At 38.1% G+C, this 27,006-nt stretch overlaps 1 long non-coding RNA gene across 8 annotated transcripts in view; it reads left to right on the top strand.

Annotated features, from left to right (window-relative positions):
* TTTY14 (testis expressed transcript, Y-linked 14) overlaps positions 1 to 27,006 on the top strand; it is a 205,047-nt gene that overhangs the window by 133,908 nt on the left and 44,133 nt on the right. For 2 of the 8 annotated variants that reach the window (NR_001543.4, NR_125737.2), the window contains one exon: positions 10,799 to 11,189. The exons of 4 other annotated variants lie outside the window; for them this stretch is intronic. This is a non-coding gene — a long non-coding RNA (testis expressed transcript, Y-linked 14). Of the gene's footprint in view, positions 1 to 10,164; positions 10,284 to 10,798; positions 11,634 to 27,006 lie in introns of those variants that run through there. 2 more of the 8 variants (NR_125733.1, NR_158641.1) reach the window with 2 other exon arrangements.

Genomic DNA, 27,006 nt, shown 5'->3' with positions numbered 1-27,006 from the left:
AAAAAAAAAAATAGCCACTGTAGTCCCAGCTACGCGGGAGGCTGTCAGGAGAATCTTTTAAACCCAGGAGTCAGAGGCTGCAGTGAGCAGAGATTGCACTACTGCACTCCAGCCTGGATGGCAGAGTGAAACTCCATCCCAAAAAAGTAAAATAAATAAATAAATAGGTGGTTGTGTGGTTACATTTGGAGGCGTAAAAAATAAACAGATGTAAATTTATCAAATGAACCCAAGCGAAACCAGTTCAAAGGAAGTTTCCACGAGAAACTCCATATGTTAAATTTCTCTTTCTAATACCAAATGACAACAGACTTAAAAGAACAGACCATACCAACAAGGGCATTTTATCTCTAAAGGTGAGAAAAGGTTTTGGCACTATTTTCTGCCTTCTCTTTATAGTTGGTCACTATTTGGGTTATATTAAAAATAATTGGCCAGTGACAGTGTCTCATGCCTGTAATTGCAGCACTTTGGGAGGCCAAGGTGGGCAGATCATGAGGTTAAGAGTTCAAGACCAGCCTGGCCAATATGGTGCAACTCCATCTCTACTAAAAAAAAAAATACAAAAATTAGCCCAGCATGGTGGCATGTTCCTGTAGTCCCATCTACTCCAGAGACTGAGGCAGAATAATCACTTAAACCTGGGAGATGGAGGCTGCTGAGAGCCGAGATTGCACCGCTGCACTCAAGCCTGGGCTACAGAGTGAGACTCTGTCTCAAAACAAAAAACAAAATTATTGAGGAGAAACTTTCTCTCTCTCTCTCCTTCCTTCCTTCCTTCCTTCTTTCCTTCCTCTCTCTGTCTCCCCTCCTCACTCTCTCCCTCTGTCTCTTTTTCTCATATTAAAAATAATTATACAGGAGAAACTTCCCTCTCCCTCTCCCTCTCTCTCTCCATCTCTCTCTCTCTCTCTCTCTCATCTTGCTCTGTCACCGAAGCTGGAGTGCAGTGGTGTGATCATAGCTCACTGCAGCCTTGAACTCCTGGGCTCAAGGGGTCCTCCCACCTCAGCCTCCCAAGTAGTTGTGACTACAGGTGTGCACCACCAAGCCTGGCTACTTTTAATTTTTTTTTTTTTTTTTTTTTTATAGAGATGGGGTCTCCGAATGTGGCCCAGGCTGGTCTCAAACTTCTGGCTTCAAGGGATCCTCCCACCTGGGCCTCCCAAAGCGTTGGAATTACGGGCATGAGCCCACCATACCAGGCAGGAGGAACTTTTTATAACAGCCAATATATCCTGAGTTAGGTATTACAATACCATACAGTGACAATTTCCAAGTATATATATATGTCTTGGTTTAAGGAGTAAAATATAGTTGAGTCTATGCAGCATTCATCTTGCATTAGTACGTGAAAGATATTTTCATTGGTAAAAAGACTATATTTTCAATATACAGATGACCCTTGAACAGTGTAGAGATTAGGGGCACTTACTCTCCCATGCAGTCAAAAATCCATGTATTACTTTTAACTCCTCCAAGACTTAACAGTTAATATACTGCTGAAAAGACCAGAAGCCTTACAATAACATAGAGAGTCAACTAACGCATATTTTGTATGTTATGTATACTATATACTGTGTTGTTACAATAAAATAAGGTAGAGAAAAAATGTTATTAAGAAAATCCTAAAAAAATGAAATATAGTTACTGTTTATCAAGTAGTAGTGGATCATCGTAAAGGTCTTCCTCACGTCATCTTCACACTGAAGAGGCTGAGGAGGAGAATGAAGAGGAGGGGTTGGTCCTGCTGTCTCAGGACCTCCAATGCAGTTCAAACTCATGTTGTTCAAAGGTCAATTGTAAGTTCTTCTTCCAAAGACAGGTGTGTATTACCTTTGCCTGACTGTCATAGTTCACCCATATAGGTGTGTAGGCTGAGTCTGACACTTAATACTCTCAGTTATGGCTCTCTGTTTCATTCTATGCTATTTTTGGAAGGCCAAGAAAAAATACAGAAAAGATCTTCTAGATAAAGAGTCAACTATTTTATGAAAAAAATGTTGGGAAACTGATTGTGTTTCATAGTAATAAGCCATATTCTGTTTAGGAACTCAGATATCTGTTTGCAGTAACATATATTTATGGATGCTCACACATACATGAATAAAACCTAAATAGATTATCTAGTTTAATTCCTTTTTTAAAGATGGCTAGATATCTAAGTTTTTCAGGACAAATAACATTTTCTTCCTTAAAAAAAAAAAATTATTCCCTGCAGGACATGGTGGCTCACACCTGTAATCTCAGTACTTTGGGAAGCTGAGGCTGGAGAATTGGTTGAGGTCAAGAGTTTGAGACCAGCCTAGGAAACATAGGGAGAACCTGTCTGTACAAAAAATATAAAAAGTAGCCAGGTGTGGTGGTGTTCTCTCTTAGTCCCAGCTACTCAAGAGTCTGAAATGGGAGGATGGCTTGAGCCTGGGAGTTGGAGGCTGCAATGAGACACAGTCGCACCACTACACCCCAGCCTGGATAATAGAGTGAGGCTGTGTCTCAAAAACAGAAGAAAACAAAACCTAAAATGAAAAAAACCTTATTCTTACACCTGAAGATGGTGAGGGAAAAAAAAAAACTTACACTTACACCTGAAAATTCTGAAATCAGTCTTCCTTATTAGTCTTGACTAATGTATAATCAACTTGTAATTAGGTTGACTTACACCCAAATACTTTCTGGATATGTTTTAGCTGTCTGTTTATTCATTTTATACTTAGGATAATGAATGAATATCTTCTGCATACAATTAAAATATTTTGAAGATAATTTAGCCAATCATCTTTAAACTCCCCATTTTCAAGCTAAATAGGCAAAAAATCTATTATTTTTTATTGAACTAATTTTCTAAGCCTGGTCTTTTCATGCATGTAAAACCTCAAGTGTGGGAGTCAATGCTAATCCCAGGGTTTGGTTTAGCGATGAACAGTTTCTTGATTTGAACAATGGGTATGAGACAAAGGACTATTTGGAACCAGATTTCCAGCAGTAGGGTAAAGTCAATCACAGCCTTGTTTTCTTTCTGAATTTGCAACCCCAAAGTATGTTCCCTTTATGAGACCTAAATGCAGCAGCAGAAGTCCAATGTTAGAACATGTGATTCCACTTCCAGCTTAAAAGGAAGAGATTCCATGTGTGACACTGGCTACTTCTTAACTTTGCCTTGGTATTTTTGAAGTATTTAAAATATGCACCAAAATGTTGCTTGACTTCTTATTATTGTAATTGTTTGAGACAGAGTGTAACTCTGTCACCCAGGCTGCAGTGCAGTTGTGCCATCACAGCTCACTGCAGCCTTGATCTCCCTAAGCTCAGATGATCCTCCCATCTCAGCTGTCTAAGTAGCTGGTACTATACTATCATGCCCAAATAATGTTTGAGTTTTTTCCAAAGTTAGAGGTCTCACCATGTTGCCCCAGCTGGTCTCAAATGCCTGAACTCAACCCATTTACCTGCCTCAGCCTGCCAAAGTGCTGGGATTACAAACATGAGCCACTATGCCTGGCCTTAACCAATTTTCAATCTGTAATGATAGTCTATCAGCCATATCAACTCTTTTATGAGGTTTGATATAGGGCATACATAATGTTAGAATGCTTAAACTAGTAGACAGCCATATAGGTCTCAAGAGAGTCTATGCCTGAAGAACCCCTGCTTTGGTGGAACAGTTTCCATTTACTCTATCAGGCCCTTCCTTGAAGCCAACACCTGGCTGTTACCACCAAGTGGCTTGGTATGGATGATATATTTGCTGCACACACCAACACGTGCTGGACCCCGTCCATTTGATTTCAGACAACACTATTGTGATGATTAATTTTAGGCAGCAACTTTAGCTATCTGAGGGATACCAGGTGTGTGCCTGTGAGCAGGTTTCTGGAATAGACTGGCCTTTGAACTGGTGGACTGAGGACGGCAGACCCACCCTCAGCAATGTGAGTGGACATGATGATTCAGACTGTACAGCACCAGAGGTAGAAAAAAAATAACAGAGGAAAGGTGAATTTGCTCTCTCTCAAGCTGGGCAGTCATCTTCTTCTGCTCTCTGTCACCCTAACTTAGGTTCTTAGAAGACAGAACCTTCATATCTGGAACTGACACTAGTGATGTCCCATATTCTCAGGACCTTGATCTTGGACTGATAGTTACATGGTGAACTCTCTGGTTCGCAGCCTTCGGAAATACTGGAATTACAACACCAGCTTTCCTCTTTCTCCAACTTGCACGTAGTAAGGCTTGGGACCTCTCAGCCTCCATAATAACTTCAATTCCCATAATAAATCTTTATGTATCTATCTATCTATCTATCTATCTTATCCATCTATCCATCTTATTATGTCTCTATGTATCGGTTATCTGTTTATTATCTATCTCCATCATGTATCTATCATCTATCTATATTGATCATCATCATCTATCATATCTATCATCTGTCACATCTATCTTCTATCAGTCATCTATTATTTTTCTTTTTCTTTCTTTCTTTCTCTCTTGAGAGAGAGAGAGAACATCTCCTTCTCTTGCCCAGGCTAGATTGCAGTGTTGCAATTTTGGCACACTATAGCCTTCAACTCCCAGGCTCAAGCAATCTTCCTATCTCATCCCCCCGAGTAGCTGGGATTGCAGGTATGTGCCACCATGGCCAGCTAATTTTTGCATTTTTAGTAGAGATGGGGTTTTGCCATGTTGGCCAGGCTGGTCTTAAACTCCTAGTCCCTAGTGATTCCCCTGCCTCAGCCTCCCAAAGTGCTAGGATTACAGGAGTGAGCCACCACACTCAGCCTCTATTATTTTCCCTACTGGTTCTGTTTCTCTGGAGAACTCTGGCCAGGTAATTGAATAGTTTGTGCCAAATTTATCTAATCAGTTGCATAAATGAAGATGATTCAGCACATGTAGTCACATTATACAGATAGATTTCTTTTCTTTTCTTTTTTGCGATGGAATCTCACTCTGTTGCCAGGCTGGAGTGCAGTGGCGTGATCATGGCTCACTGCAATCTCTGCCTCTTCGGTTCAAGTGATTCCTCTGCCTCAGCCTCCTGAGTAGATGGGACGACAGGTGCGCAACAGCATGCCCAGATAATTTTTTGTATTTTAGCAGAGACGAGGTTTAACCATGTTGGCCAGGATATTTTCGATCTACTGACCTCATGATCTGCCCTACTTGCCCTCTCAAAATGCTGGGATTGCAGGTGTCAGTCACCAAGCCACTCAGAAGGATTTATTTGGGAGAATATTTTGGTGAGTATGAGTATGAGGTGTGAGCAGTTGTTCAGAGAGAACCAAATTCCTTCTTCTTGTGTTGAAGGGTTAAGAGTGTAGGCATGTAGAATTTACAAAAAACAAAAAAATTGTTTTGCAAATTTTTATCAGTCTAAAAATGTGATCTACCTATCCAACATTGTTGACAGCACATTGTTCATTGTGGTTGTAAGTCATCTATTCTCATCTTTCCTTCTTTCTTCCTCCTTTTTGAAAACCAAGATAGAGAGGTCAGGCACGGTGGCTCACAGCTGTAATTTCAGCACTTTGGGAGGCTGAGACCGATGGATCACAAGGTCAGGAGACCAAGACCATCCTGGCCAACATGGTGAAACCCCATCTCTACTGAAAATACAAAAATTAGTTGGGCGGGGTAGCACGTGCCTGTAATCCCAGCTACTCAGGAGGCTGAGGCAGGAAAATCGCTTGAACCCAGGAGGCAGAGGTTGCAGTGAGCTGAGATCGTACCACTGCACTCCAGCCTGGCGACATAGTGAGACTCCATCTCAAAAAAAAAAAAAAAAGCCAAGATAGAGAATTTCAGCTGGTCAGCACCAAGGTAGAACTTACATGTTGAAGAGAGTGTGTAGAATGTGTCTTTGAGTACCCTAAATGGTGAGATATATACTACAGATTTTTGATTTTGAAGTTTGGGGAAGTATCTTGATCTGCAAGAAGTTCCAACGTCTGGGTATTTACCCATGGGAAAAGAAAAATTGTCTAAAGAAGACACTTGCACTCATATGTTTATCACAGCACTACAATAGCCAAAATATAGAATCAACCTAAGTGTCCATCAGTAGAGGACTGGATAAAGAAAATGTGGTATAGGTACACCATAGGATATTATCCAGCCATAAAAGAAGAGTGAAATATTGTCTTGTAGTAACCTGGATGGAGTTGGAGGCCATTATCCTAAGTGAAATAACTCAAAAACAGAGATAAAATTACCCCATGTTCTCACTTGTAAGTGGGAACTAAACAGTGTGCAGGTAGGGACATAGACAGTAAAATAATGGACACTGGAGACTTAGGAGTGTGAAAGTGGGTAGGAGCTGAGAAATTACCTATTCGGCACAATGCTTACTATTTGATTGATGGGTTCACTAAAAGCCCAGATTTCACCAGTACAAAATTGTGTATGTTAGAAACCTGCACTTCTACCCCTAAATATAGAAAACTAAAAAATTTCTTAAAGGAAAATAAGCAAAAGTGATGTATTGGAAGTCTCTTCCACCCTTTACTTTCTAGTGTTTTATGATTCCATAATCAATGAGTAGTTGTCAGAAGCTCATTAATGATGTGATGATTATTCACTTTGAAGTTGACATGGTGGGCAAGTTTCTGCTTGCTCTGCACAAGGCCTTTGGGCTGTTGTCAGGAGGACTTGATGGAAGGGTTATGAAACCAACTTTACTTTTGAACTTATCAGTGCCTAAGGAGAAATATGAATCTTCCCCAGAAGTGTGGAAGTGGGTAGGGGTTGAGAAATTACCTATTGGGCACAATGCTCACTCTTTGTTTGATGGGTTCACTAAAAGCCCAGACTTCACCACTATAAAATACGTGCACATAAGAAACCTGCATTCGTTCCCCTAAATATGGAAAACTAAAAAAGTTCTTAAAATAAATAGGAAGTCAAATAGGAAAGATGCTTAAGGTTATCTGTAGTTTTTACTCAGCTGTTCCTGGCTCCCCTTACCACAAGAAGACAGTTCTTTTGGCTTCAAAGCACTTCAAAGGCATCAAAGAAGCCACATGTGAGTGGGCTCACAAATTCCAAAACAAAGTGATTATATTCTTATGTTAAATGTTCAGACTCATGACATATCACAGGATTGCGAGTCGAACAATGAGGTAACATTCCTACTCTATGGAATCACAAAGAATCAAAAACCATCTGAAAAAGACATGTCTGTGAGGAGCGAGAATAAATTCATGACATAAATTCATGATGTTTGGTGATCAGGCCAATTTACAAAATAGTATTAATCACCTGTGAGCTAATTGGTTGGCTCACTCTTTTGGAGCAGAACTCAGGAGGCAGAGATTGCAGTGAGCCATGATCACACCACTGCACTCCAGCCGGCAACAGAGTGACATTCCATCTCAATATTATTCATTTTATTTGAAAAGGAGCATTGGTAGCTGAATTTACAATAAGCATCCGTTGGGGAGATATTTCTTAGAGGCAGCATTTCAAAGTTAAAAATACTTACATTTCAAACAGGAAAAGATTTAAGTGTGTGTGCCATATTTCATTTGGTCTGATGGCCATGACATTGAGAAGGATGGTATTAGAAAGACCAAAACAACGTGGGACTTCCCCTGTGAAAATGCTGTGGGCTTCTGTGGAGTTGAGGATGTGCAGGACACGGGAAGCCCAGGGGAGGAGCATTCTGTAGCTACTGGGCCACGTCTCCATGGGATGCTTCCCTAGCCCAGACTCTTTGCCTTTATTTCAACTGACTTTACATTCTAGGGGATAAAGCTTAGCTGTGACTCTCATAATTACAGAAGGATCATAGAAGTTCTTGTTGGGCTGCTATTTCCAAAGACCACCTTCCCAAGGGGACTCAGATCTAGGAATCCTCCCTTTCCTTAGGGAAGGAGGTCTTCATGGTGCCATGAGGTTGAATGGGTGCAAAAGAAGAGGCACTGAGACCTGGGAAGAGGGTATTCTTGCTTGCAGATATGCATCCCTGTAGGTAGTATAGGTTCAACTGTTTCAACATATACATCTCATAGATTTATGTCACTCCAGTGTGTACTAACTATATTGTGAATATATTCAAACATGATACTTTTATATTAATAACATATTTACTCTTTGTATGTTTTGGCATCATGACCAAAATATGTAATATATACTATATATAATATAACCATTGCAATATAATTTACTCATAATAATATAATAATTATGCAACATACTAATATAATTATGTAACATAAAATGTTTCATTATGTACTATTATAATATGTAATACTACATACTGTGATATATATAGCATATAATCACAGTATAACTGTAATGTAATATATAGTATTTATATCATATGAGATATATTAATTACAACATAATTATATATTGTATAAGTTATACAATTATGTTACTATAACATATAACATGTCTTATATATAATATGTTATATATAATAAGATATATGTTATAATTAATATATCTCAATATAATTTTTTATTTTTATTATTATTTTACTTTAAGTTCTGGGATACACGTTCAGAACATGCAGGTTTGTTACATAGGTATATATGTGCCATGGTGGCTTTATAAATTCTATTTTAGTTATATAAATTTTATATAACATTATGTAAATATGTTATAGTTATGTAATTATTTAATATATCATATGAAAATATTTGGTGACTCATGCCTCTAATCCCAGCATTTTGGGAGGCTGAGGTGAGAGGATCACCTGAGGTGAGGAATTCAAGGCCAGCGTGACCAACATGGAGAAACACTGTCTCTACTAAAAATACAAAATTAGCTGGGCATATTGGCACATGCCTGTAATCCCAGCTACTAGGGAGGCTGAGGCAGGAGAATCACTTGCACTGGGAGGCTAAAGTTGTGAGCCAAGATTGCACCGTTGTGCTCCATCCTGGGCAACAAGATGAAACTCCATCTCAAAAAAAAGGAAGAAACAAAAGTTTATAATAATAACATATATTATGTATTATAAATTTTTCATATATACATAGTATATTATAATAGAAAAATTAATTTATTGATTTCTTCATTTACTTGTTTACTTTTTTTGTTTTTTTGTTTTTTTTTTTTTTTTGAGACGGAGTCTCTCTGTGCCGCCCAGGCTGGATTATAATGTCACAATCTCCGCTCACTGAAACCTCCTCCTCCCAGGTTCAAGGGATCCTCCTCCTTCAGCTTCTTGAGTATTTGGGTATACAGGTGTGCACCCAGCTAATGTTTTTGTATTTTTAGTAGAGATGGGGGTTTCACCATGTTGGCAAGGTTGTTCTTGAACTCCTGACCTCAAGCAATCCACCCGCCTTGGCCTTCCAAACTGCTGGGATTACAGGTGTGAGCCACCACGCCTGGCCTGTTTACTTATGTATTATTGTTTTTAGAGAAGGAGACTCATTGTTTCCCAGACTGGTCGTGAACTCCTGGCCTCAAGTTATCCTACTACCTTGGCCTCCCAGTTGAGATTATAGGTGTAAGCCACTTTGCCAGGCCTAAAATATAAATTTTAATTATACTATATGTGATATACAGTATAGCCTTCCTTCTATAATGTACATATATGTATATTACATATACACATTACATGTATAACTATATATTATATGTGACATATAATACATAACAATTCATGTAAATTATATTTATAAAATATATTGTGTATTTATATTAATATAATTATGCATGTGTGTATATGTATATATACCCACATATATATGTGTATATGTGTGTATATTTTTTATATATATGTATATATCTCATAATGACAGCTCTATCATTCTGTATCTGAATTGACATTTTTTATATTTGAGTATATTTTATTTAAAAATGACTATTATAGTTAGTTGCTATCTTAATATTTTAGATTAGCCATTATCATTCTTTCTTTATAGCTCACTAATGAGTTATTCCTTTTAGATTGTTAAAAGTGGTCTGCCCTTTCTAAGTAATAATGTATACCCTGACTATAAATCAAGTCTCAACAGTGAGCTACGTTTAAGCTGAATAAATAAATAAGGTCCTGGGAGATCAATTCCAATATAATGCAGGTTATCTGGCCCAATCACTGATAATAATTTGTAAGACAGTGATTAGAAGTCAAAAGTAAACATGTTGCAATTATTAAATTTTAAATGTTTTTAATAATTTTAACTTCCATTTTGATTGTGTTTTAAATAGAACTGTCCATTTGGCTATGAGCGAATCATCCTGCTTGCTTTTATAAGCATTTATCCTGAAAAGAAATTTAAAGCAGACATCCCATAAATGGAGTCTGGGACAGAAACCTACACATTGGGGTAGGTTTCAGAGGAATGATTAAGAGCAAAATATCAGCTTAACTTAAATGACAGGTGACAAATGAGTACAACTGAAAATTGTTCTTGTCATGTTCACATATAGCTCATTACTTTCTAACCTTTATTTTTCCCCTGCCAGATCTTGAAGAAAAAGCTTAATTTTAAAATGTCATGGATAATTGTGTATTCATTCCTATTACCATTTATTTCTGTAAAATCATTGATTTATTCTTTGTGCTGCATTTTTAAAATTATTTAAATATCATTTTATAAGCTTTTTAAAAGTTATCACAACTCAGTGCTATCGCTAAGATATATAGCACCCTTAGATAGAGATGAAAATTCTCTTAGTTTTTATTATATTGAAGGAGTAACTCCACACTGAGACAGATGCTACAACTCAAAACAGTCCCTTGAGCTATGAAAACTTATATGGCAGGAGAACATTAAAAACCCAAAGTATTTTTGAAGCTTAGTGTATTTTTCTTTTTCTCTTTTTTTTTTCTTTTTTCCAGGCTTGGTGGCATGCATGTTTAGTCCCAGCTACACAGCAGGGAGGCTGAGGCTGAAGGAATACTTGAGCCCAGGAATTCAAGACTAGCCTGCACAACATAGTGAGACCCTGACTTTAAAATAAATTTAAAAAAATTAAAAGCAACAAGACTTTCTGCTTGTATATGATGATGTTAGTATGCTGACTTACAAGGTTAGATCATTTTGATATGTGTGATGTAGGTTTTCAAAGCTGGCACTGTTTTATGCTTCAAATATTATTTTTATTCATTGGTTCTCATGGGATTTCATCACTAAGCTGTAAATCAATAATCATAATGTTGAGGGGAGGGGATTACAAAATAGCTCTTCAAAATCATCTTTGCATTTCTCAATAAACAGCATTCCCTTTTGGACTACAGTGAAAAATATTGAGCTTTGTTTACTTTGAAAATGAGTCTTAGTCTATGAATGCCTGGGTAGGGTCAAGAATGAAAAATGAGAGGAAGAGAGAAGCATCAGGAAGATAAAATGATCAATCTCACAAAACTTGCTATTTTTAGAAAGCATCATTCTAATTTTGAAACCAAAAAAATGGGGAAAAACAGAGTAATGGAATAATAGAATGCCTCATGTACAAAAGCAACAATTTCAGAGATGATCTAAAACAACTTATTAGTTATAGGAAGAAATATACCTGAAAAGGGCAAAAATAAGTTGGGTTTGGCCTCTTGTCACTGAAATTATCTACTAAATCTAACAGCATCTATGTTCCTTTAGCTGTTGTGTATATTGTACACAAATGTGAAACCATAACTCATATTTTACCTATAACAATTTGCAATAAATAACTAATTATGAAGGCTTGCATGTCATTTTTGAAGACCTTGTAAGTCTAATTCAAAGGAATTTTCCAAGAAAAATATTGGGAGGTAGGGTTATACATTGACATATATAATTATACACCTATGCCATATATATGTATGTATGTGAATAATGAACACACATAGGTAATTTGAGATTGATTCCTCTAAAAAACTGTGCTCACCAGGTGTGGTGGCTCATGACTGTATCCCTAGCGCTTTGGGAGGCTGAGCCAGGCAGATCACTTGAGGTCAGGAGTTTGAAACTAGCCTGGCCAACATGGTGAAAACCCATATCAAGGGTGTGGTGGCATGCACCTGTAATCCCAACTTCTTGGGATGCTGAGGCAGGAGAATTGCTTGAATGCAGGAGGTGGAGATTGCAGTGAGCCGAGAACGCATCACTGCACTCTAGCCTGAGCAACAGAGCAAGACTCAGTCTCCAAAAAATAATAATAATAGTAATAATAATAATACTCGGAGCTTACTAATTTTTATAGGTTTCTTAAAAAATAGTTCTAAGTTTTAGAACTCCATGTTTTATGTGAATACTGAGTTATTTTATCTCTATTTATTAGACTTTCTTTTCCCATTTAATTCCTTTAGCATTCTTGCCAAAAAGCAACATGCTATATAAATGAGGGTCAGTGTATGTCCTCTTTATGCATTGCTAATTTGCCTCTATGTATAATAATAACAGGACCTCTGAATTCCTGATGTTTACAGTAAATTCTGGGATTACACAACCTCCTGTATATACAGTTCTTTTTCAATATCATGTGTCTCTTCTTGGTCCTTCACATTTCCAGATAATACTTAGATAACACTTCTCCATTTCTGCTTAAAAATCCTATCAGTATAATGAGAAAATTTGCATTAAATATATCAACCAATTTGAGAAGGTTTTGTATTTAACAACATTAAGTCGTTTAATCCATGCACGTGGTATATATTCCAATTTATCTCAGTCTTCTTATTTTCTTTTTTTTATTATTATACTTTAAGTTAAAGGGTACATGTGCACAACGTGCAGGTTTGTTACATAGGTATACATGTGCCATGTTGGTCTGCTGCACTCATCAACTCGTCATTTACATTAGGTATTTCTCCTAATGCTATCCCTCCCTAGCTCCCCACCTCCCAACAGGCCCTGGTGTGTGATGTTCCTCGCCCTGTGACCATGTGTTCTCATTGTTCAGCTCCCACCTATGAGTGAGAATATGCGGTGTTTGGTTTTCTGTCCTTGTGATAGTTTACTTAGAATGATGATCTCCAGCTTCATCCATGTCACTGTAAAGGACATGAACTCATCCTTTTTAATTCAGCGTTCTTCTTTTCTTAAAATCGTGCTATGTGGATTTCAGTGGTGAGATCTTGGATAATTTTTTTTTCTTTTAAATATTCTGGCCAGTCATGGTGGCTCATGCCCAGCACTTTGGGAGCTGAAGTGTGTGCATCACCTGAGGTCAGGAGTTCAAGGCCAGCCTGGGCAACATGATGAAAGCCCGTATCTACTAAAAATACAAAAATTATCTGAGCACGGTGGTGCATGCCTGTAATCCCAACTACTCAAGAGGCTGAGGCAGGAGAATTGCTTGAGCCCAGGAGGTGAAGATTGCAGTGAGCTGAGGTTGTGCCATTGCACTCCAGCCTAGGCAAAAGAGCATGGCTCTGTCTCAAAAAAAAAAAAAAAAAAGAAAAAGAAAAGAAAGAAAAAAATTCTAAACATTTACTGTTTGTTTTTATACTAAAAGGAATGAATTTTTTAGTTTTATTTATAATGGCTAGCTGCTAGTATGTAGAAAAATTGATTTATTTATATCACCTTTGTAAATTGCAACCTTGCAAAGTTCATTTAATGGTTCTACTATTGATTTGAATGTTCATTAGGAATTTCTGCATTTGAAAAGCATATTGTCTTTGGATATAGACAATTTCACTCATTGTTTTAAAATCTATATGAAATATATCTGTCTTTCTTGGAACACTGCAGTGGCTGGGACTTCCAGTACAATCTTGAGGAAATGAGGTGATAGTGCATATCAATGCTTAGCTCCCAATCTCAAAAAAGACAGTGTTCCATATTTCACTATAAAGCAGAATGTTAGCTGTATGTTTTTATATTAGATGTCACTGATCAAAATCAAGAAATTCCAGGCCAGATTATGGGCTCACACCTGTAATTCCAATACTTCGGGAGGTTGTGGCAGGAGAATAACTTGAGCCTAGGAGTTTAAGACCAGCCTGGGCAATATGGTGAGACCCTGACTCTACAAAAATTTAAAAAATTTGCTGGGTGTGGTGGTGTATGCCTGTAGTCCCAGCCACTCAGGAGGCTGAGGCTGGAGGACTGCTTGAGCCCAGGAGTTGAAAGCTACAGTGAGCTATGATCACGTCACTGCACTCTGGCTTAGGCAACAGAGTGAGATTCTGTCCATAAAAAATAAATAAATACATAAATACATAAATAAATAATTTTTTTATTCTTACTGTATGTGGAGATTTTATCTTTAGTATTTTTTGTATCCACTCTAGTAAGAAATTATCATGCTATAATTTACTCTTTGTAGAATTTTTGTCAGGAGTTCATATTAAAATTACATTGACATAAAATAAGTCTCTGAGTGTTTCTTCTCCATTTTCTGAAATAACTTTTGAAGACATATATAATTTCATTAAAATTGTCAGTGTGAGGAAAAACATTCTGAATTTCTAAACCACTTAAGACATGGATAAGCATATGGAAAATTATACCTGGTTATGAGACCTTCCCAACACAAATGAAATGCAGCAACAGAGATATTTATATTATTATTATTTTTTTTTTTTTTTTGAGACTGAGTCTCATTCTGTCACCCAGGCTGGAGTGCAGTAGTGCAATCTCGGCTCACTGCAATCTCTGCCTCCAAGGTTCAAGCAATTCTCTGCCTCAGCCTCCCGAGTACCTGGGATTACAGGCACCCACCACCACACCTGGCTAATTTTTTTATTTTTAGTAGAGACGGGCTTTCACCATGTTGGCCAGGATGGTCTTGAGCTCCTGACCTTGTGATCCACCCATCTCGGCCTGCCAATGTGCTGGGATTACAGTCATGAGTCACCACATCTGGCCTAGATATTTATATTCCAATCCAGTTTTATTGTGGCTGTCTTCTGACCATGGTTCACTTCTGCTTCTACAGAATCTGTCTTTATCCCTCAGTTTCCTAATGCAGTTTGTTTAGCAACTAATTAGACATTATGGTTGTCCAGGTATGTGACATAGTTGAGTGGTTAAACACATGGAGTTCAGAGTTAGAAAGGGAAAGTTTCTAGACCTGGAGTGTACCCTTGCTAGTTAAGTTGTCCTGGAAAAGTTATTTAAACACTCTAAGTTAAAGTGCCACTGTCTTTAACACTGGCATAATAGTATCTTCTCAGTAGATTATAATATAAATTGAATTTATTAATGCTTATTAAACAGAGTTGACAGCCCTGCTCATGGTGAAAGATGGCACTTCTTGCAATTTGGTTCACATTCATATTGTGTTGAAACAGCCATTTATCTTAGACTTTTTACATTAACCTTACTTTCAGCAGATTTCTTGTAACAAAGAGGTAATTTATTATTTATTTATTTACTTTACAGAGCCTCCTCTGTCACCTGGGCTGGAGTGCGATGGTGTCATCTTGGGTCACTGCAGCTTCTGCCTCTTAGGTTCAAGTGATTCTCATGCCTCAGCTTCCCAAGTAGCTGGGATTACAGGCATGCGCCACCAGGCCCAGCAAAGTTTTGTATTTATAGTAGAAATGGGGTTTCACTGTGTTAGCCAGGTTGTTCTCAAACTCCTCACCTCAGGTGATCACCTGCCTCTGCCTCCCAAAGTGCTGGGATTAAAGGAATGAGCCACTGGGTCGGGCAAACACAGAGATAAATTGAAAGCATATTTAAATGTTTCCTGTTTCATCAGTGTTTTGTCTCCTCAGTACCAAATAAAACAATATGATAACATCCAACAATAGCTTCACATAATGAAATAAAATTGTTTGAATACAAAGATAGGGCAACATGGCTAATGCCTTTATGAAATGCATTTGGAATTTGGATTCTGAAGATTGTATTGTGAAATTGTAGTTGCCACTTAACAAATGTAATAGCAATTGCTATTGCTGCCTGCTTCAAAAACACATGGATCCAATGTAGAAACAACACACTGAAAGCTACATTTCATATAATTTCAATTACTAAAATTGGCCTTGTCAAGAACATGAGTAATCTAAATTGGGTGTGTGAACTTATAGGTCCATAAACCTACTCCTCAATTAAAGAAGAAAATCAAAGGGTTGTTATTGTTACTCTTCCCATGTTGGCAAGTGAAGCCAAGCACAATATTATCGCTGTTGTTTTCCGTTTTTTCCTTTTCTGCAAATATATTTTCCAATATATTCTGAAGCAAGTGGTGAGCAAATATATTCTCCAATATATTCTGAAGCAAGTGGTGAGGGAGGCTGACTTCAGTTATTTTGTAGAGTCTCAGAACTTACATTTAAGGTGTTGCCAGATGACTATTTATAAGGAAACAGAAGTTAACTCTTCTGCAATAGTTTCTGCTAGTTATAAAACATCTTTGATTGCACACTTAACACCAACCCAGTCATCTTTATTTAAAGAATGCATTCAAGGCTGGGTGTGGCTGCTCATGCCTATAATCCCAACAGTTTAAGAGGCTGAGGCAAGAGTATTGCTTGAACTCAGGAGTTCAAGACCAGCCTGAATACCAAAGCAAGATGCTATCTTTATAAAAAATTTGAAAATATTAGGCATGGTGGTATGTGCTTATAATTCCAGGTACTTTGGAGGCTGACATTGCTGAGACCAGCTCAGTCGGGGAGACCCTAACCCAGTGGCGCTAGAGGAATTAAAGACACACACACAGAAATATAGAGGTATGAAATGGGAAATCAGGGGTCTCACAGCCTTCAGAGCTGAAAGCCCTAAACAGAGATTTACCCACATATTTATTAACAGCAAACCAGTCATTAGCATTGTTTCTATAGATATTAAATCAACTAAAATATCCCTTATGGGAAACAAAGGGATGGGCCAAATTAAAGGAATCGGTTGGGCTAGTTAACTGCAACAAGAGCATGTCCTCAAGGCACAGATCGCTCATGCTATTGTTTGTGGCTTAAGAATGCCTTTAAGACGTTTTCTGCCCTGGGCAGGCCAGGTGTTCCTTGCCCTCATTCCGGTAAACCCACAACCTTCTAGCGTGGGCATTAGGGCCATTATGAACATGTTACAGTGCTGCAGAGATTTTGTTTATGGCCAGTTTTCGGGGCAGTTTATGGCCAGATTTTGGAGGGCTTGCTCCCAACAGACATGGTAGGATTGTTTGACTCCAAGAAGTCATGGCTGCATTCAACTATGATCACACCGTGCAATCCAGGCTAGGCAACAGAGCAAGACCCTGTCTCAAAAAAAAATTGCATTTAAATCTGAACAAAATTTAAAGAAATAAAAAACAACACTTGACTGCATTCATCCTTCTGTCTGTCTTGTTTTTGATGAGACATGTTGGCGAATTTATAAATGCTGCTTTGACTGATATTGATGAGGTTTCCCTGACAACTCTAAAAGCACTGCAAATGTACTGATGAACAGAGCTTCTCTCAAGTTATTTTCCAGTCCTGTAGGACTCTGAAGTGTTCATTTATTATTTCCCCTCCTTGAGGCAATAACCTCTGAGAATTCACCCTAATTGGATTTGAAAGAATTGTATTGCCATGAGTTTGTAATCTCTCCTGGTTTCCTCTTAGCACTTGAGAGAGACTTCTGTCTTCTTTGAAGTTTACTTCCATTGGTCTTCCCATCAATTATATTCTCTAGGCTATCTTTTGTGTCTCAGTCCTTCATTAACACTATTTTTGTCTCTGGTCAACATTATCAGCCCTCATTACTTCAGCTTCATCTGTCTGTAGCTATTCTGGATTGAAGAGTGCACTCCTAAACTTCATGTACTCTGGAAGCTTCAGAATGTGACCCTATTTGGAAATAGGGTCTTTGCAGATGTAATTGATTAAGATCTTGGTATAAACTCATGGGCCCTAAATCCAATGACTAGTTTCATGATAAAAGAGAGAGAGAGAGAGGGAGGAGGACACAGAGACAAGAGAAAGAAGAACATGGAAAAATGGAGACAGAGATAGGACTGATGGAGCCACATGCCAAGGAACACCAGGAGCCACTAGAAAATGAAAGTTGCAAAAAAGCATCCTCCCCTAGAGCCTTCCACTGGAGCATGGCCCTAAAGTCACCTTGATTTGGAGCTCCTCAGTTGTTTACTGCAATTTATTACAGCAGCCCTGAGAAACTAACCCTCTAGTTAGCTCAGCATTCACTTTCTCTGATCCCATCTGCCTTTTCTCCTTTGAGTTCCAGACCAAAATTTGAACTCTACTCAAATGATTAAAACCGTCTCAAATTAACATTTCTTTTTTTTTTTTTTGTACTTTTAATTTAGGTTCAGTGGTCCATGTGCAGGTTTTTTATACAGATGCGTTGTGGGATCTAGGGTACAGATAATTTTGTCAACCATGTAATAAGCATAGTACCAGATAGGTAGATTTTCCATTTTCTCGCTCCTCCCTTCCTCCACCCTCAAATAGGCCACAGTGTCTCTCGTTTCCTTCTTGAATTCATATGTACTCAATGCTTAGCTCAATGTTATACTCAATGTATAAGTGACAATATATAGTGTTTGGTTTTCTGTTCCTGTGTTACTTCACTTAGGATAATGGCCTCCAGCTCCAAACATGTTGCTCTGATGGACAGGATCTCACTTTTGTTTATAGCTGTGTAGTATATATGTGTATACGTACCACATTTTCTTTATCCAGTTCACTGTTGATGGGCATCTAGTTTGATTACATGTTTTTGCTATTGTGAATCATGCTGCAGTGAACATATGTATACATTATCTTTATGGCAGAAGGATTTATATTCCTTTCGATATATACCTGAAAATGGGATTGGGTCTGATTAACATTTCTAAAGCAACAGGTATCTCCCTCCTCTTCCCAAAAGCTGTCTGTTCCTTCAGAGATTTATATTTGTAATAGTTTTCTTAACCCATTTTGGAGTCCAAGCTAAAACCTCAGCAGAGACTCTGTCCTCATTCCATACTTATGTTTATTTGGACTCCAAATTCCATGGATTCTTGTTTTATAGTTTCCCTAATTTAGATTCCCTCTTTTTCTTTACCATTGCAATTGATCAAGATGACATCAATACTTAAAGAGTGTCACACCCTAAAAAATATCACCTCTGCATTTGAATCATCCTGTCTGCTGCAAGCACACCCTTCCTCAGGCCAGCCCATTACTGCCTGGAGGAGAAAGTTGAAACACTGTCACATGTTATACACACAAAAGCCAACAGGTTCTGCTGCCTGACCAACATTAGGGTCTTAAGTTTTCTTGCTTTTCTTGATGTTCATGCTGGGATGTTCCATCACTCCAGTTTTCCTCCAGGCTCCTAAAGAACCCAATCCTTTTCTGTAGCTTTGTAAATTATTACTACCAGAAAGTTCCCTTTTGTGCTGGTCCAACTTCAAAATTATTGAAGTCCCACTTCAAATGTTATCTCTTACTTCAAAGTCTTCCCAACTCAGCCTATGTGACAAAATATCTGATCTCTTTCTACCCCTTTGGACCCAGTATTTATTTTTCATTTAGCTCTATCCTTGTTTTTTTTTTTTTTTTTTTTTTTTAAGAGGACTTACATGGTTTTTCACTCAGCAGTAATCTAAAAACTTTTTCAGTAAAATAACTCGGACTCATTTATATGTTCCCTTGTTGCTTGGCTTAGTGCCCGAGAGTGTACAGATATTAAATGCTTCTGAATAAAAGAGACTCATGTGAGTCAGAGTCAGACCACATCTCTGAAATCTTATGTTCAGTCCAACAAACTATGATTTAATTGTTTGGACCTGGCAGGAAGAAATATTTCCTTCAAACCTGAAACAGAGAAGACCTCAAAATTAAAGCTCTTCAAATGCATAATATGCCTTAGCAATATAACAAACTCAGGATGATGAGAGGTGTTTTTTTTTTTTTTTTTTTTTTTTGAGACGGAGTCTCACTCTGGGATGACAAGAGTTTTATGAAGAGTCAGATGCATCATCAGAAACAGAGGGAGTAGACTCTAACATGTAGGGAAGGCTGTGTTATGTAATATATGGAACACTGGCAGCCTTTCAGATCCTTGGCTGTTCATCTTTGCCTGTACTGCATCTCCACATTCTCCTTGCAATTGGAATGTGTATTTGAACAGAAAGTCATTAGAATAGCAACCTGCAGGCTTTGTATGCCAACCAATGGTTTTCCTGCCAATTTTACTGCTAAACACTGAAGTTCCTAATGGGGAAAATAAATACCTCCACTGTGGTGCAAACTAAGCTATCATAAAGAACAGGTCATTAGTGGTGGCAGTTTGTAGGAGCTGTGGTTATTATCCAATAATAGAAGATGCTGAGGAAGCCATGATGGTCTTTGAAATAACTTATTCAATCAACTGCCACACAAGCAGAATGCCACCTCCAGAGCGGTGTGCAAAACATCCACCCTTTCCATTTCAATAAAGACAAGAAAACACACAAAAATAGAGCTGGGATTCGCTCTGCCAAACCACAAAACCTCTTCACACCTGTTTTAAAAAGTATTAGATATAGACACATTACATTCTGGCAAGAACCTCTAAGGCTGAATAGTCAGTTCATTATTTTTATCATTCTACCATAATATAAAGAAAAAAAGGAAACAGTGCTTGCTCTTAATACACTATTTACAGACAGACACTGGGAGCCAGAAATAACTGTGAGGTGAAACAGTGCTCATGAATTATATATGTTGTCTGGTTTATATTATTTCTGGCACTCACAAGAAAACAAGGAGCATGAATCCTTTGGAGAGTAATTCGAGACTCATCAAACTCAAAGGATACCTTAGAAAACAATATCAAACCCTGAAACACAAGCAGAGTTCTAATGGAGTTGGGCAGTTGTCAAAAACAAAACAAAACAAAACAAAAGCAGAGAATTTACTCATTATGCTAAGTTGTTAGATAAAGCAGGAAAGGGCACATGTTCCTTGCTCCTCTGAAAAATATCCAAAGGGGTGGCAGGGTACGGTGGCTCATGCCTGTAATCCCAGTACTTTTGGAGACCGAGGCAGGAGGATCATGAAGTCAGGAGATCAAGGCCATCTGGCTAACACGGTGAAATCCTGCCTCTACTGAAAATACAAAAAAATTAGCCGGGCATGGTGATGGTCACCTGTAGTCCCAGCTACTGGGGAGGCTCAGGCAGGAGAATGGTGTGAACCTGGGAGGCGGAGCTTGCAGTGAGCAGAGATCGTGCCACTGCACTCCAGCCTTGGCGGCAGAGAGAGACTCCATCTAAAAAAAAAAAATATATATATATATATATACACACACACACACATATATATATACACACACACATATATATATACACATATATATACACACACACACATATATATATATATATACATATATATATATATATATATATGTATCCCAAGGGGCAGGGAGGTATACCATAATAATGTCAAAGAAAGCCCTGATATGCAACATTACCTTGATGGTTATCTAGAATATGCACCAAAGCACTAGATGTCAGCCAAGAGGGCAGCATGGCGAAAACAGAAAGGGCTCAGGCTTGGTTTCAAAGACAGCATGAGTGAGCCACAACTTGCATGACCTTGAAAAATCCCATCACCTGCTTCCTCATGTGGAAAACTGTACCTAGCACTGATAGATGATTTAATGGGGCACCTAACAGTACTGGGCAAATTGCAGGTAATAAGTGGCCATTCTTCTTCTCTCTTTCTGTCAAAGAATGTGCAGACTTCTGGGAAAACCTCCTTAGAATGTATGAGGGAGGAGAATCTAAAATTTTTATTATAAGAGGAAGTACCTATCCTCAGATGTGTTTGACCTTGTATGATGGCATGATGGACTCTAAGAGCTACAGCAATTTCTAAAACTCTTCTTTGTTAGAAATTTTATCATCTTGTACAGTTCTGCACTTGCAGTCAATTTAGGTTTCAACTGACATCAAAATGTGAATGATGAGTGAGAAAAATCTAAATTCCCTTCTTGACTCTGGTTCTTACCAGAATGATGACTTTAAATGGGCCTCTCCTGGTCTGCTTATCAGAGGTAGATCTCCCCAACACTGAAGCATGCATTTGGAAGTGTTGGCCACCTGTTCTCACGAAAGTGCCTTCTATCTTTGTTTAGTAGCTTGGATTCTGCTAGGCAGCATTTTGCCTGCTTCATCTCAGGGTTCTTTGATTTCTCTCTCTCTCTATGTGTAGATATTTCCTCCTAATTTCCCAGCAGACAGCTCAAATATATGATGAACAATTAACTCATTAGTTCCCCAAAAGTTCTCTTCCTGGAGTATTCATCAATTGATTAAAGTTAGCATTACTTGCCCAGTCCTTGTAGGGAGAGACTTCAGCATCAGCTTTGCCCTTTTTTATCTTCTCTGAATCAGATTCTAACATTTTTTTTCTTTGAGACAGAGTGTCACTCAGCCCACCCAAGCTAGAATGCAGTAGTAGGGAGAGACTTCAGAATCAGCCTTGCCCTTTTTTGTTTTCTCTGAATCAGATTCTAACTTTTTTTTTCTTTGAGACAGAGTCTCACTCTGCCCACCAAAGCTACAGTACAGTGTCACACTCATGGCTCACTGTAGCCTCAACCTTCCAGAGTTGAGCAATCTTCCCAACTCAGCCTCCTGAGTAGCTGGGACTAGAGGTGTATGACACCACACTTGGCTAATGTTTTATTTTTTTGTAGAGATGGGGTTTCATTCTGTTGCCCAAACTGGTCCCAAACTCCTGCCCTGATCAGATCAAGTGATCTGAGGCCTCCTGGGATACAGGCATGAGCCACTGTGCCCAGACAGATCCTAATATCTGATTACTTATTACAACCATCCCTTGTTCTCTGTTCCCACCTGATGATGTTCCTTCTGTCCATTCCATTTGTTTAGCATTAAATAATATTAAAATCTGTATCAGTTTTAGAGCTACAGAAACAATGTTCCACAAACTTGTTGCTTCAGGCAAGATAAATTTATCTTCTCACGATTCAAGAGACCAAAAGTCAAGGAGTTAGCAGGTCTGCATTGTCTCTGAAAGCTCTATCAGAGAATACTTTCTTGACTCTTCCAACTCTGCTGGTTTCTGGTAATCCTTGGGTTGTGGACACATAATTGCAACCTTTGCCTGGATCATGACTGTGTGGTGTTGTCTTCTCCTCCTTATGTGTATTGGTCTCTGTGTCTTCTGTTCTCTTTCTTTTCCTTCCCTCCTTCCCTCCCTCCTTCCTTCCTTCCTTCCTTCTCTCCCTCCCTCTCTTCTCTTTCCTTCTTTCTTTGTCTCCTTCCTTCCTTTCTTCTCTTTCTTTTTCTCTCTTTCTCTCTTTCTTTCTTTTCCTTCCTTCCTTCTTTCCTTCCTTCCTTCCCTTCTTCCCTCCCTCCCTCTTTCTTTCTTTCTCTCTCTCTCTTTCTTTCTTTTTTTGTTTCCTTCCTTCCTTCCTTCCTTCCTTCCTTCCTTTTCTTTCTTTCTTTTTTGAGGAAGGGTCTCTCTCTGTCACTTAGGCTGGAGTGTGGGGTGCCATGCTGGCTCACTGCAACTTCTGCCTCCTGGGCTCAAGTAATCCTCCCACCTCAGCCTCCTGAATAGCTGGGACTACAGGTGCACATCACCACACCTGGCTAATTTTGTATTTTTTGTAGAGGCAGGTTCTCCTGTGTTGCTCAGGCTGTTCTCTAACTTGTGAACTCAAGCAATTCTCTTGCTCTGGCCTCCCAAAATACAGGGATGAGCCACCTTGCCAAGCCATCTCTTCTTATAAAGACACCAGTTATACAGGATTAAGGTCACACACTACTGCACTATGACCTCATCTTAACTTACTTCTTAATGATATCTGCAAAGACTCTATTTCAAAATGAGGTCACATTCACAAATATTACAGGTGAGGAATTCAACATATTTTTTGAGGGAGACAAACCAATTCCTTACAAAGGAATAAATTGGTATAATTGACTTTCTTTTCTCCAAATTCAATATCATCACTCAACATTCAGCATGTCTCCAGGAGTTCTCTTTATTTGAAAACTCCAAAGCAAAGCCCATGCTTTAAGTTTTCCTTAACCAGCTCCCATGGCATAGCACTGTTTGCTCTTCACTTAGAAAGTTCTTTAAAATTGAGTTGCAGAATGCCTTGTTAGCCTACATCTTTCTTTCTTTTTTCTTTTTTTTCCAGCCGAGTTTTGCTCTTGTCACCCAGGCTGGAATGTAGTGGCATAATCTCAGCTCACTGTAACCTCCACCGCCCAGGTTCGAGTGATTGTCCTGCCTCAGCTTCCTGAGTATCTTGGATTAAAGGTGCATGCTACCATACCAAGGAAATTTTTCTATTTTTAGTAGAGATAGGGTTTCACCATGTTGGCCAGGCTGACCTCAAGTAATCCACACACCTTGGCTTCCAAAAGTGCTAGGATTACAGGCATGATCCACCATGTGAACACATCTGTCTTAATCATCATTTCTCCATCTACCCCAAGTCTTTAAGATTTGCTCGATTAGCGTGACCTGTTCCTCTGCCCCAACACCAGTGCCATCTTTTTGTCTATGATTCTTTTCCTAGGATTTTCTAAGATTCAAATAATCTCTCATCAGTTCTTCTGCCTCCTCCCCACAAAATATTATGTACATTATCTTCCTTCTTCCTTCTTCTACACCTTTTATTTTAGCATTTGTGTTTTAGGGAAAAGGATAATTTTCTTGTAGTCTCCACATCATGCATCAGACATGAGTATAGATGCTCGTCAATCAATTTCTTGCTTAATCCTTGTGAAGACATAGCTCAGTGCAGAATTATTCCTCTCACTTCAAAGGCAAGAAAAGTAAGGGTCAGGGAGATAAATGTACTTAAGTTTGTATGGCTAAAATTTGGTTGGAACCTTAATCTGATGCTGTTACTCATTCTACCCAGCTAATTTCCCCCTACTTTGTGGTTATGACAGGCTAGCACCCAAACAACATCCTGTTGATCTTTGTATGTCTAGAGCTCATTAGTGCCATGAGTTTTCCCAGACGGAAAATGAAGATACAATAGATGCATAATCTCTCTGCCTGTTGAATTCTCTACGGGTGCAGGACCTTACTGATGCTTCACATTTAAATAATGTTTTAGAGAATTCATATAGAGTGAAGGCATTTTGTCACAAATATTGCTACCAAAATGATCTTTGACCCCTTCAATTTCACCATTGAGGACTAATTTCCATGCATACAAATCTGAAACACTCTGTGGACATTTCTACTGTATCTACCATGGTAAAAACCTATCAGGTTTTACTTCTAGTTTCTGCTTTGATTTGAAGATAAAGTCAGATACACCCCCCAAAAAACATAAATATGAAAATATTATAAAAACTGAAGATGAGACAGCATAGAAGTGATGCAGCATCAACATTTAAATCAATACTCTGATTAATAAGTACAACTTGATTTAAGGCATTTCAGCTTGGGAGAGCTTTTAATGTTTATTATACAAAAATTAAAATGCTTTTCCTCTCAGATAAATTCTAATGGCTTTGTCTGGATAAAGTTGATGTGTGAGAAAATTTTGTTGATCTTGTTTTTAGTTTAAACTTTGAGACATACTGAATTTTATTTAATTGGTGTTTGAAGCAAGTTTTGAAGTGAAACAAATGTAAATTGTCTCAGTGAGTGAATTATTTAGGTTTGTATATTTTGAGTGCATTTTACCAAGTGTCTTCTCAAATATTAACTCCCTGAGTCTTTCATAATACCTTATCAATATAAAATTAAGTATAATGAACTATGTATGTACATTGATGTATGTATTTAAAATGTACTCTGTGAACCCAAAATATCTGAGACAGGTCTCAATTAATTTAGGCAAAATTAACTAATTTTGCTAAGGTTAAGGACACACTGTGACACAGACTCAGGAAGTCATAATGATATGTGTCCAAGGTAGTTGGGTACAGTTTGCTTTTATACATTTTAGGGAGACATAATACATCAGTCAATACATGCATAAGATTTACATTGGCTTGATTGGGAAGGGCAGGACAATTGGAAGTAGGAAGGTGGGGGACTTGCAGGTCTTAGGTAGATTTAAAATTTTTCTGATTGGCAATTGGTTGAAAGAGTTATTATTAGGTTGGCCCAAAAGTAATTGCATTTTATTTTCCATGGCAAAAAACAGCAATTACTTCTGCACCAACCTACTATCCATAGAAAGGAGTATCTGCCTTAAGATAAAGGGTTGTGGAGACCCAGTTTTTATCATGCAGATGAAGCCTTCAGGTGGCAGGCTTCAGGGAGAACAGATTGTAAAAATTTTCCATCAGACTTAAGGTCTGTGTTAAGTTTAATTCTGGAGAGGTAGAATGAGGCAAGTCTGACCCCCTCATCCATCATGGCCTGAACTAGATCTTCAGATTAACTATAGAATGTCCTTATCCAAGAGGAGGGGTCCACTCAGATGCCTGGAGCAGGACTTAGAAGTTCATTTTTGGCTTACAATACATACATATATGGTGTGTGTGTGTGTGTTTATATATATATATGGTATATACATATATATGTATACATATATATGGGTATATATGTACATATATGGTATCTGTATGGTATATGCATATATGGTTTACATATATGTATACATACATATATATGGTGTGTGTATATATATGTACATACATATGGTGTGTGTGTATATACATGTACATACATATATATGGTGTGTATGTATATATATGTGTGGTAAGCCAAAAATAAACTTCTAAGTTTATTTTTGTGTATATATAATGTGTATATATAGTTTGTTTATATAATGTATATACATGCTTTACCTAAAACATATGGTATATATGTGTATATATTGTATAATACAGAATATTTTAGCACACATGTAATAGGTATATATCCATATAAGTAGTATGTAGATACATATATATGTATCAATATATTCAATATGTATGATTAGTATTACTAATATGTCATATGTAGTATTCTTTTTTTTATTATACTAGTTCTGGGGTACATATGCAGAACGTGTAGGTTTGTTACATTGGTATACACTTGCCATGGTGGCTTGCTGCACCCATCAACCTGTCATCTACATTAGATATTTCTCCTAATGCTATCCCTCCCCTAGCCCCCCACACCCCCAACAGGCCCCAGCATGTGATGTTCCCCTCCCTGTGTCCATGTTTTCTCATTCTTCAACTCCCACTTATGAATAAGAA

The sequence above is a fragment of the Homo sapiens genome, chromosome Y (genome assembly GCF_000001405.40).
Source record: "Homo sapiens chromosome Y, GRCh38.p14 Primary Assembly".
Lineage (NCBI taxonomy): Eukaryota > Metazoa > Chordata > Mammalia > Primates > Hominidae > Homo > Homo sapiens.
This window is presented reverse-complemented; position numbering and strand designations above follow the sequence as displayed.